This window comes from Homo sapiens, chromosome 19, assembly GCF_000001405.40.
Source record: "Homo sapiens chromosome 19, GRCh38.p14 Primary Assembly".
Taxonomy (NCBI): Eukaryota; Metazoa; Chordata; class Mammalia; order Primates; family Hominidae; genus Homo; species Homo sapiens.
Genome location: NC_000019.10, coordinates 55,000,325 through 55,012,601, shown reverse-complemented (window position 1 = coordinate 55,012,601; position 12,277 = coordinate 55,000,325). Strand labels below are relative to the sequence as shown.

Below are 12,277 nucleotides of genomic sequence, written 5' to 3'. Positions count from 1 at the left end.
AGTAAGTCTAAGCTCATTCACATGGTTACATGTTTTTAGAAACCTAATATTAACAAGTTCCTAAAGAAAACAGCTAAAAGTGGGTGTCTCTTAGGCGGAGCAATGGAGGAGATGGTTAGTCAGCCACTGCATTTTGTACACACCCTTTTAGTGCTATTGGAATTTTTTAGGTAGGTGCTGTCAGGCCTCTGAGCCCAAGCTAAGCCATCATATCCCCTGTGACCTGCACGTACACATCCATATGGCTGGTTCCTGCCTTAACTGATGACATTCCACCACAAAAGAAGTGAAAATGGCCTGTTACTGCCTTAACTGATGACATTGTCTTGTGAAATTCCTTCTCCTGGCTCATCCTGGCTCAAAAGCTCCCCTACAGAGCACCTTGTGACCCCCACTCTGCCCGCCAGAGAACAACCCCGCTTTGACTGTAATTTTCCTTTACCTACCCAAATCCTATAAAACGGCCCCACCCCATCCCCCTTCGCTGACTCTCTTGTCGGACTCAGCCCACCTGCACCCAGGTGATTAAAAGCTTTATTGCTCACACAAAGCCTGTTTGGTGGTCTCTTCACATGGACGCACATGAAATTTGGTGCCGTGACTTGGATCGGGGGACCTCCCTTGGGAGATCAATCCCCTGTCTTGCTCTTTGCTCTGTGAAAAAGATCCACCTACGACCTCAGGTCCTCAGACCCACCAGCCCAAGGAACATCTCACCAAGTTTAAATTGGGTAAGCGACCTCTTCTTACTCTCTTCTCCAACCTCTCTCACTGTCCCTCAACCACTTTCTCCTTTCCACTCTTCAATCTCTCCCTTCTCTTAATTTCAATTCCTTTCATTTTCTGGTAGAGACAAAGGAGACACGTTTTATCTGTGGACCCAAAACTCCGGCGCCGGTCACGGACTAGGGAAGGCAGCCTTCCCTTGGCGTTTAATCATTGCAGGGACGCCTCTCTGATTATATACCCACGCTTCAGAGGTGTCAGATCACGCAGGGATGCCTGCCTTGGTCCTTCACCCTTAGTGGCAAGTCCCACTTTTCTGGGGAAGGGGCAAGTTCCCCAACCCCTCCTCTCCATGTCTCTACCCCTTCTCCACCTTTCTGGGGGGCAAGAAACCCCCAACCCCTTCTCCTTCACTCTTAGCGGCAAGTCCCGCTTTTCTAGAGGGGCAAGTACCCCAACCTCGTATCTCTGCACCCTGATCCCTTATTTCCATGCCCCAACCTCTTATCTCTGTGCCCCAACCCCTTATATCCATGCCCCAACCCCTTTCCCGCTTTTCTGGAAGGTAAGAACTCCCGAACCCCTTCCCTCCGTGTCTCTACTCTCTCTTTTCTCTAGGCTTGCCTCCTTCACTATGGGCAACCTTCCACCCTCCATTCCTCCTCCTTCTCTCCCTTGGCCTGTGTTCTCAAAAACTTAAAACCTCTTCAACTCACACCTGACCTAAAACCTAAATGCCTTATTTTCTTCTGCAATGCCGCTTGACCCCAATACAAACTGGACAGCAGTTCCAAATAGCCAGAAAACAGCACTTTCAATTTTTCCATCCTGCAAGATCTAAATAATTCTTGTCGTAAAATGGGCAAACGGTCTGAGGTGCCTGACGTCCAGGCATTCTTTTACACATCAGTCCCTTCCTAGTCTCTGTGCCCAGTGCAACTCGTCCCAAATCTTCCTTCTTTCCCTCCTGCCTGTCCCCTCAGTCTCAACCCCAAGCGTCGCTGAGTCTTTCTAATCTTCCTTTTCTACAGACCCGTCTGACCTCTCCCTCCTCCCCAGGCTGAGCTAGGTCCCAATTCTTCCTCAGCCTCCGCTCCTCCACCGTATTATCTTTTTATCACCTCCCCTCCCCACACCTGGTCCAGCTTACAGTTTCGTTCAGTGACTAGCCCTCTTCCACCTGCCCAGCAATTTACTCTTAGAAAGGTGGCTGGAGCTAAAGGCATAGTCAAGGTTAATGCTCCTTTTTCTTTATCCCAAATCAGATAGTGTTTAGGCTCTTTTTCATCAAATATAAAAATCCAGCCCAATTCATGGCTCGTTCGCCAGCAACCCTGAGAAGCTTTACAGCCCTAGACCCTTAAAAGTCAAAAGGCCGTCTTATTCTTAATACACATTTTATTACCCAATCTGCTCCCGACATTAAATAAAACTCCAAAAATTAAATTCCGGCCCTCAAACCCCACAACAGGATTTAATTAACCTCGCCTTCAAGGTGTACAATAATAGAAAAAAGTTGCAATTCCTTGCCTCCACTGTGAGACAAACCCCAGCCACATCTCCAGCACACAAGAAGGGAACTGAACCGCAGCGGCCAGGCGTTCCTCCAGAACCTCCTCCCCCAGGAGCTTGCTACAAGTGCCAGAAATCTGACCACCAGGCCAAGGAATGCCTGCAGCCCAGGATTCCTCCTAAGCCGTGTCCCATCTGTGCGGGACCCCACTGGAAATCGGACTGTTCAACTCACCTGGCAGCCACTCCCAGAGCCCCTGGAACTCTGGCCCAAGGCTCTCTGACTCCTTCTCGGCTTAGCGGCTGAAGACTGATGCTGCCCAATCGCCTCGGAAGCTCTGTAGACCATCACGGATGCCGAGCTTCGGGTAACACTCACGGTGGAAGGTAAGTCCGTCGCCTTAGTCAATACGGAGGCTACCCACTCCACATTACCTTCTTTTCAAGGGCCTGTTTCTCTTGCCTCCATAACTGTTGTGGGTATTGACGGCCAGGCTTCTAAACCCCTGAAAACTCCCCCACTCTGGTGCCAACTTGGACAACACTCTTTTATGCACTCTTTTTTAGTTATCCCCACCTGCCCAGTTCCCTTATTAGGCCGAGATATTTTAACCAAATTATCTGCTTCCCTGACTATTCCTGGACTACAGCCGCATCTCATTGCCACCCTTCTCCTCAACCCAAAGCCTCCTTCGCGTCTTCCTCTCCTATTCCCCCACCTTAACCCACAAGTATGGGACATCTCTACTCCTTCCCTGGCAACTGATCACATACCCGTTACCATCCCATTAAAACCTAATCACCCTTACCCTGCTCAATGCCAATATCCCATCCCACAGCACACTTTAAAAGGATTAAAGCCTGTTATCACTCGCCTGCTATAGCATGGGCTTCTAAAACCTATAAACTCTCCTTACAATTCCCCCATTTTACCTGTCCAAAAACCGGAAAAGTCTTACAGATTAGTTCAGGATCTGCGCCTTATCAAATTGTTTTGCCTATGCACCCTGTGGTGCCCAACCCCTACACTCTTTTGTCCTCAATACCTTCCTCCACAACTCACTATTCCATGCTTGATCTTAAAGATGCTTTTTTCACTATTCCCCTGCACCCCTCGTCCCAGCCTCTCTTCGCTTTCACTTGGACTGACCCTGACACCCATTAGGCTCAGCAAATTACCTGGGCTGTACTGCTGCAAGGTTTCACAGACAGCCCCCATTACTTCAGTCAAGCCCAAAGTTCATCCTCATCTGTTACCTATCTCGGCATAATTCTCATAAAAACACACGTGCTCTCCCTGCTGATCGTGTCTGACTGATCTCTCAAGCCCCAGCACCTTCTACAAAACAACAACTCCTTTCCTTCCTAGGCATGGTTAGCGCGGTCAGAACTCTTACACAAGAGCCAGGACCACACCCTGTAGCCTTTCTGTCCAAACAACTTGACCTTACTGTTTTAGCCTAGCCCTCATATCTGCGTGCTGTGGCTGCCGCTGCTTTAATACTTTTAGAGGCCCTCAAAATCACAAACTATGCTCAACTCACTCTCTACAGCTCTCATAATTTCCAAAATCTATTTTCTTACTCACACCTGATGCATATACTTTCTGCTCCCTGGCTCCTTCAGCTGTACTCACTCTTTGTTAAGTCCCACAATTACCATTGTTCCTGGCCCGGACTTCAATCTGGCCTCCCACATTATTCCAGATACCACACCTGACCCCCATGACTGCATCTCTCTGATCCACCTGACGTTCACCCCATTTCCCCACATTTCCTTCTTCCCTGTTTCTCACCCTGATCACACTTAGTTTATTGATGGCGGTTCCACCAGGCCTAATCGCCACACACCAGCAAAGGCAGGCTATGCTATGGTACAAGCCACTAGCCAGCCTCTTAGAACCTCTCATTTCCTTTCCATTGTGGAAATCTATCCTCAAAGAAATCACTTCTCAGTGTTGCATCAGCTATTCTACTACTCCTCATGGATTATTCAGGCCCCCTCCCTTCCCTACACATCAAGCTCAAGGATTTGCCCCCGCCCAGGACTGGCAAATTAGCTTTACTCAACATGCCCCGAGTAAGATAACTAAAATACCTCTTAGTCTAGGTAGACACTTTCACTGGGTAAGTACAGTCCTTTCCTACAGGGTCTGAGAAGGCCACCGCAGTCATTTCTTCCCTTCTGTCAGACATAATTCTTCAGTTTAGCCTTGTCATTCCCTTCTGTCAGACAAAATTCCTCAGTTCAGCCTTCCCACCTCTATACAGTCTGCTAACAGACCAGCCTTTATTAGTCAAATCAGCCAAGCATTTTTTCAGGCTCTTAGTATTCAGTGACAGACTAATGGTCTATTAAAAACACACCTCACCAAGCTCAGCCACCAACTTAAAAAGGACTGGACAATACTTTTACCATTTTCGCTTCCAGAATTCAGGCCTGTCCTTGGAATGCTACAAGATACAGCCCATTTAAGCTCCTGTGTAGACACTCCTTTTTATTAGGCCCCAGTCTCATTCCAGACACCAGACCAACTTAGATTGTGCCCCAAAAAACTTGTCATCCCTACTATCTTCTGTCTAGTCATACTCCTATTCACCGTTCTCAACTACTCACACATGCCCTGCTCTTGTTTACACTGCCAGTTTACACTGTTTCTCCAAGCCAGCACAGCTGGTATCTCCTGGTACTATCCCCATACCGCCACTGTTAACTCTTAAAATAAATAAATAATCTTTGCTGGCAAGGCTATGCTGAACCTCCTTAGGCACTTTCTAATTAGATGTCCTGAGTCGTCCCAATTCTTAGACCTTTAATACCTGTTTTTCTCCTTTCCTTATTCCCTTTAGTTTTTCAATTCATACAAAACTGTATCCAGGCCATCACCAATAATTCTAAATGACAAATGTTTCTTTTAACAATCCCACAATGTCACCCCTTACCACAAAATCTTCCTTCAGCTTAATCGCTCCCACTTTAGGTTCCCACGCCGCCCCTAATCCTGCTCAAAGCAGCCTTGAGAAACATCACCCATTATCTCTCCATACCACCCCCAAAAATTTTTGCTGTCCCAACACTTTACCCCTATTTCATTTTATTTTTCTTATTAATATAAGAAGACAGGAATGTCAGGCCTCTGAGCCCAAGCTAAGCCATCATATCCCCTGTGACCTGCACGTACACATCCAGATGGCCGGTTCGTGCCTTAACTGATGACATTCCACCACAAAAGAAGCGAAAATGGCCTGTTCCTGCCTTAACTGATGACATTGTCTTGTGAAATTCCTTCTCCTGGCTCATCCTGGCTCAAAAGCTCCCCTACTGAGCACCTTATGACCCCGACTCTGCCCGCCAGAGAACAACCCCCCTTTGACTGTAATTTTCCTTTACCTACCCACATCCTATAAAACGGCCCCACCCCTATCCCCCTTCGCTGACTCTCTTGTCAGACTCAGCCCACCTGCACCCAGGTGATTAAAAGCTTTATTGCTCACACAAAGCCTGTTTGGTGGTCTCTTCACACGGACGTGCATGAAAGGTGCGTGTATATTTTTGTAACACAATAAATAATAACAGTATACACTTTTTCTTTTAGAAGTATGCTGTTAAACAGAATTAAGAACAGGAAGTCTCAAAATTGTTTCTTTCAGGAGAGAAGACTTATTAATGGGGGAGAGTTCTGAACCACTTGCTTTGCATACTGCCACTTAGTTAAAAAATCGCATTTTAACTTAAAAATATCCAAAAATAACACAGTTTTATAATAAATTATTACGAATATCACAAAATAATAAAAATACAAGTAATGCAGAGTGGAAATGCAAAGCTATGAGTGCTAGACGGCTAACAAGTCATAACAAACAACACCAAAATTAAAGAACAAGATAGTTGTGACTTACCTTGGTCAATCACTTTCCATAGTAGTCATTCAATCCAGGATCTCATCTCTGAAAATGAAGGAAAAAAGCAACAGAAAATAGTGTAGAGGTCTCTGGTGTTCCAAGAATAGGCGCTGCAGAGAGATGTGGGTGCCTGGGCTGTGCCCAGTCACTGAAATGGCACACCTGATGCTACCTGTTCACTTCGGGCTGAGCAGGAGAGAGAAAAGACGTTCCCCTCAGCCACTTCCCGTCTTCTGATTTCACTTCTTGCCTGCCTCCGACTGCAAATCCTGGTTTGACGTCACTTCCTGTCTTCTGATTTTACTTCCTGTATGACCTCACTTCCTGTCTTCTACAACCACTTCCTGTCTTCTTACTTCACTTCCTGTCTTCTGACTTTACTTCCTGTATGACTTCACTTCTTGTCTTCTACCACCACTTCCTGTCTTCCGAATTTACCTCCTATCTTGACTTCACTTCTTGTTTTTTTTTTTTTTTTTTGACAGGGTCTCGCTCTGTCTCCTAGGGTGGAGTGCAGTTGTGCCAGCTTGAAACCACCTTTCCAAAATTATGACTGAGACAGTGAAAGAGATTTAACTGACTCCATTTTGCTTCTAACCTCCAAGCTGTCCTTTTTCATTCCTGGGCATAGGCTGAACTTTGGGAGAAACTTATAGTTTAAACAAAGATGATAGCCCTTTTCCAAAGCACACCTCTTTGTTGCCTGGGGACTAGATTGGCCCTGTAGGACGAACATTAGCCACGAGATTAGAAATTATGACTTAGGAGTCATGCAGCTGGAGGCTACAAGATTGTGACCCTCCCTAAACTGCTTCTAAGATCAGCGTTTAACTTGCAGACCCTGTACTTGATGGATCAGCTGGCACCACCCATATCAATAAACTGGCCCATCTTATCTTTTGGCCTCCACTCAGGAACTGAGTGCAAGAAGATAGCTTTGGCTCCCACGATTTCATCCCTGACCAAACAGCACTCCTGGCTCACTGGCTTCCCACCCACCCACCAAGTTATCCTTAAAAACGCTTCCTGAATGCTGGGAGACACTGATTTGAATAATAATAAAACTCTGGTCTCTCGTAGAGCCAGCTCTGCATGAATTATTCTCTATTGCGATTCCCTGTCTTGACGAATCAGCTCTGTCTAGGCAGTGGGCAAGGTGAACACATTGGACTATTACAATCTTGGCTCACTGCAACCTCCACCGCCTGGGTTCAAGTGATTCTCCTGCCTCAGACTCCCAAGTAGCTGAGATCACAGACGTGCACTACCATGCTCAGCTACATTTTTTTTTCTGTCCCCCGGGCTGGAGTGCAATGGTGCGATCTCGGCTCATTGCAACCTCCGCCTTCCGGGTTTAAGCGATTCTCCTGCCTCAGCCTCCAGAGTAGCTGGGATTACAGGCATGCACCACCAAGCCTGGCTACTTTTGGTATTTTTAGTAGAGACAGGGTTTCACCATGTTGGCCAGGCTGGTCTCAAACTCCTGACCTCATGTGATCCACCTGCCTCTGCCTCCCAAAGTGCTGGGATTACAGGTGCGATCCACCATGCCCAGCCCATTCCGTCTTCTGACTTGACTTCCTGCCTGACTTCACTTCCTGAAGGATGTGGTTACCATGGAAGTTGTTTTGGGGCACAGGATGTGGTCTGGGATTGGGGATTGTGAAAAGCAAGACCCTCACCGGGGTCTTTCTTCCAGAGCTGCAGCTGAGCCACAGGATCTTGAACAGGAGAGAGTTCTTCCTATTCTTGTGGAAGAGCTGAGGATTGAGAAAAGCGCGGCTTAGCTCATGGGAGTGACCTTAGCTTTGAGAAGCCTGAAAATGAGGCTTGGAGGTAGAGAGTGGTGTGTGTGTGTGCGCGTTGGGGGAGGGGGTCAGGCTCTCATGACTTCTGGCTCTTTTTTTTGCTCCAGGAACATTTCCCAAGCCCACCATCTGGGCTAACCCAGCCCTCGTGGTTCCTGGGTGCAAACATGGCCGTGGAATTGTGGAATGGTTTTTTTTGTATCCTTAGCAGAGAACCCAGTGAATACTTTGTTCTTGATCATCAATGTGATGAGATCCAGAGCAAGCAAGTGCTAATGCTGCTGTGAGCCTGAGGCCACATTTTCAGAATTCAGTGATGGGCGGAGGCGAGTGGTCACAGGTATAGGGAGAGCAGTACTTGTTCATCTCTGAACGTATAGATTCAGACACACATGAACCCATGTGCCACAGGTTTCCCTGTTTAGGACTTGTAGGTCATGGGGGTGGGCATCTGAGAGTGTGGCTACATGAAATACACACGTTGGAGAAAGATGGTTAATTGTGAGTGCGAGTTTACATTTCATGGGCCCCTGGGGTGTCGATAGTTCCTCAATGGATGTAGATCCGTTACTCAATTTCTTCTCTAAAGATGGGGCTAGATTACAATGGTTCTCAACCTAAGAAAACTTTGCATTTCAGGAAATATTTTCTACTGCCCAGAGACATTTTTGATCACTGTTAACTGTGAGGATGTGAGCTGGTATCTAGGGGGTAGAGGCTAGGGATGGTGCCGAACACCCTGGAAATGTACAGGACGTTTCCCAACGAGTAGTGATCCGATCCCAAATGTCAATAGTGTGGAGAAGGAGAAACCTTTAGTTTCTTCACGCAATGTCCTTTTTAAACTTTGTGCCTCTCTTTTTACCAACCTTCCCCCTTCTTCCCGCTGAAACTGAGAATAAAGATGCTCTGGAGGCCGGGCACGGTAGCTTATGTCTGTAATCCCAGCACTTTGGGAGACCGAGGCAGGCAGATCGCTTGAGGTTAGGGGTTCGAGACCAGCCTGGCCAGCGCGGTGAAACCCTGTCTCTACTAAAAATGCAAAAATTATCCGGGAGCCTGAGGCAGAATTGCTTGAACTTGGGAGGCAGAGGCTGCAGTAAGCCGAGGTCACACCACTGCACTCCAAACCGGGCAATGGAGCGAGACTGTCAAAAAAAAAAAAAAATGCTCAGGGAATGACCCATGCCGCATTGAACAAGGACACCTTGAACCAGGAAACCTCAGAAGCCCACACTGTATGCAGTGGAACTGGAAAGTGATGGAGTGGTTTAAAGGTAGTATCAGAGAACTTGGATCTAGTCGGTGGGAATAAACCAATAGCCCCTGATGAAGAAATGAAAGTAGGAAGAGAGATTAACTTTTTTAGTTTTAAATTTAAATATTAAAACTACTTTTGACCAGGTGTGGTGGCTCATGCCTATAATCCCAGCATTTGGGGAGGCCAAGGTGGGCAGATCACCTGAGCTCAGGAGTTCAAGACCAGTCTGGACAACGTGGCAAAACCCTATCTCTACCAAAAATGCAAAAATTACCTGGGTGCAGTGGTGCACACCTGTGGTCCCAGCTACATGGGAGGCTGAGATGGGAGAACTGCTTAAACTGGGGAGGTGGAGGCTGCAGTGACCCGAGATCGTGCCATTGCATTCCAGCCTGGGTGAAAGAGCAAGATTCTGCCACCAAAAAAAAAAAAAAAAAAAAAAAAAAAAAAGAAAAAAATGTTGCCAGGTGCGGTGACTTATACCTGTAATCCCAGCACTTTGGGAGACCAAGGCTGGTGGATCACCTGAGGTCGGGAGTTCGAGACCAGCCTGACCAACATGGAAAAACCCCGTCTCTGCTAAAAATTCAAAATTAGCCAGGCTTGGTGGCACATGCCTATAATCCCAGCTACTCAGTAGGTCGAGGCAAGAGAATCGCTTGAACCCGGGGAGGCGGAGGTTGCAGTGAGCCAAAATCGTGCCATTGCACTCCAGCCTGGGCAACAAGAAGAAACTGTCTCAAAACAAACAAAAAAAAACATGATTAGTGTTTAATAAAAATTTGTACTGTTCTTTTTCCCCCTTACCGTCCATTTGTTTGCTCATCCAGTAAACACAGACAGCAACAAAGTCTCCCCATGAGAAGCAACTTTGCCAACTAGTGTTGTCTTTATAGTACAGTTCGTTTTGTTTGTGGTTTTACAGCGTAGAGCTTGCACTGCTGCTTTGTTGAATTTGGAATTCTGTATCACAAGGAAATAATGGAGACTCTATAGTGAAAAACTATGCATACCATGAGATTTTGTTTTTTTTTGGAGAAGGAGTCACTCTGTTGCCCAAGCTGGAATGCAGTAGTGCAGTCTTCAGCACAGTGCAACATCCACCTCCTGGGTTTAAGCAATTCTCCTGCCTCAGCCTCCCAAGTAGCTGGGATTACAGGCATGTGCCACCATGCCTGGCTAATTTTTTATATTTTTAGTAGAGACGGGGTTTCACCACGTTGGCCAGGTTGGTCTCCAACTCCTGACTTCGTGATCCACCCACCTCAGCCTCCCGAAGTGCTGGGATTACAGGTGTGAGCCACCGTGCCTGGCCGAGATTCTATTTTAAGTTAGAATTTTTAAAAAGCAAAATCAGAGCAATGACATGGTCATATATGAGCTACACCGAAGCACCTAAAATATTGTAGATTGGTAGGAGAAATCCTCTGGCAAGTAATACTCAGCAGGCAGTGATCCACGCAGGTCAACAAGTAACAAGACAGGCTAGGCACAGTGGTTCACACCTGTAATCCTAGCACTTTGGGAGGCTGAGGCAGGAATATTACTTGCGCCTGGGAGTTTGAGATCAGCCTGGGCAACATAGTGAGACCCTGTCTTCAAAAAAAATCCCACAAAAATTGGCCTGGTTTGGTGGTGTGCACCTGTAGTCCCAGCTACTGAGGAGGCTGAGGCTGGAGGATCGCTTGAACCTGGGAGCTTGAGGCTGCAGTGAGCTATCATCATGCTGCTGTATTCCAGCCTGGGCAACAGAGCAACACTCATGCTTGAGGAAAAAGAAAAAGAAAAAAAAAAAAGCCGGGTACAGTGGCTCATGCCTGTAATCCCAGCACTCTGGGAGGCTGAGGTGGGTGGATCACTTGAGGTCAGGAGTTTGAGACCAGACTGGCCAACATGGTGAAACCTCATCTCTATTAAAAATACAAAAAAATTTAGCCGGGTGTGGTGGGGGATGCTTGTAATCCCAGCTACTCAGGAGGCTGAGACAGGAGAATCGCTTGAACCTGCCAGGTTGTAGTAAGCTGAGATCGTGCCAGTGTACTCCAGCGTGGGCAACAGAGTGAAACTCAGTCTAAAAAAAAAAAAAAAAAAAAAGAAAAGAAAAAAGAAAGGAAATACCAAGGCAAGGCAAAGATTGACAAGGCAATAGAAATCAATGCAATTAAACACTGTCACTTCCCCCACCCCCCAGGTTCTACCCAGTAAGATATCTTTTCTCTAACTTGTCAAAGCCCATTATTAAGTAACAGCTTCATTTGTGAATGCTCTCACCTTTATTTCTCTCAATATACCCGTGATACAGATATTTCATATGTAACAAAGATAAGGATGTGTGCAGGTATAAAACAGAGGCAGAATCATGGCTAAAACATCTAGCCCAGCAATGAACTCATTATCCCTGAGGGGTAGGGGCCGGGGAGGAGAGGAGTCACAGGCAGTTCACCAACACCTGGAAAATCGATGACTTCATGGAGAATGAATGACTCGGGGGGATTCAGATCATGAAGTCATGAGAAGAAGGCCTTTCTGCCCAGGGATGATGTTTCTCAGTATCAATAATCAGTTGTGGGTTTTTTTCTTCTATTTCTTCCAGCAGCTTATTGAGTTCATCATTAAAGTCATCGATTTTCAACCTGGGGTACAATGGGGGAAGAAAAGGTTACTTTGTGCATCAAGGAGATTTGTTTCAAATTCCCAAGTACCTGAAAGTCTGTTAAGGAGGCACAGGGCATGGGTCACCTTTCCTGATTATTCTAGGTGGCAAAGGAGTGTTCCACATTGATTTTTTTTTTTTTTTTTTAAAAGACAGTCTCAGGTGGGGCGTGATGGCTCACGCCTGTAATTCCCAGCACTTTAGGAGGCTGAGGCGGGTGGATCACGAGGTCAGCAGATCAAGACCATCCTGGCTAACACGGTGAAACCCTGTCTCTACTAAAAAAATACAAAAAATTAGCCGGGCGTGGTGGCGGACGCCTGTAGTCCCAGCTACTCAGGAGGCTGAGGCAGGAGAATGGTGTGAACCCGGGAGGCGGAGCTTGCAGTGAGCCGAGATCGTGCCACTGTACTCC

The 12,277-nt window shown here is 46.8% G+C and overlaps 1 protein-coding gene and 1 long non-coding RNA gene across 8 annotated transcripts in view, besides 1 other annotated feature; both read right to left on the bottom strand.

Annotated features, from left to right (window-relative positions):
• The window catches only part of GP6-AS1 (GP6 antisense RNA 1), a 38,091-nt gene extending 31,716 nt beyond the window's left edge, over positions 1–6,375 (bottom strand). The window contains exons 1-2 of one of the 2 annotated variants that reach the window (XR_001754012.3): positions 6,303–6,375; positions 6,138–6,185 (exon numbers count right to left, since the gene is read on the bottom strand). This is a non-coding gene — a long non-coding RNA (GP6 antisense RNA 1). The remainder of the gene's footprint in view (positions 1–6,137; positions 6,186–6,302) is intronic. The other variant, XR_001754013.3, reaches the window with a different exon arrangement.
• Positions 186–745: an enhancer, noted in NCBI's record as "OCT4-NANOG-H3K27ac-H3K4me1 hESC enhancer chr19:55523225-55523784 (GRCh37/hg19 assembly coordinates)". NCBI's record gives its function as "activates a minimal SCP1, AML or CMV promoter by ChIP-STARR-seq in naive H9 embryonic stem cells {active_cell/tissue: H9 hESC(naive)}" and the evidence as "EXISTENCE:reporter gene assay evidence [ECO:0000049][PMID:30033119]".
• Positions 11,464–12,277, bottom strand: part of NLRP2 (NLR family pyrin domain containing 2) — a 35,855-nt gene continuing 35,041 nt past the window's right edge. For all 6 annotated transcript variants that reach the window (NR_145325.2, NM_001174081.3, NM_017852.5 and 3 more), the window contains one exon: positions 11,464–11,842. Coding sequence is in view for 5 of the 6 variants with exons in the window: in NM_001174081.3 (NP_001167552.1) it covers positions 11,704–11,842 (139 nt within the window). In the remaining variant the exon portion in view is untranslated. The remainder of the gene's footprint in view (positions 11,843–12,277) is intronic.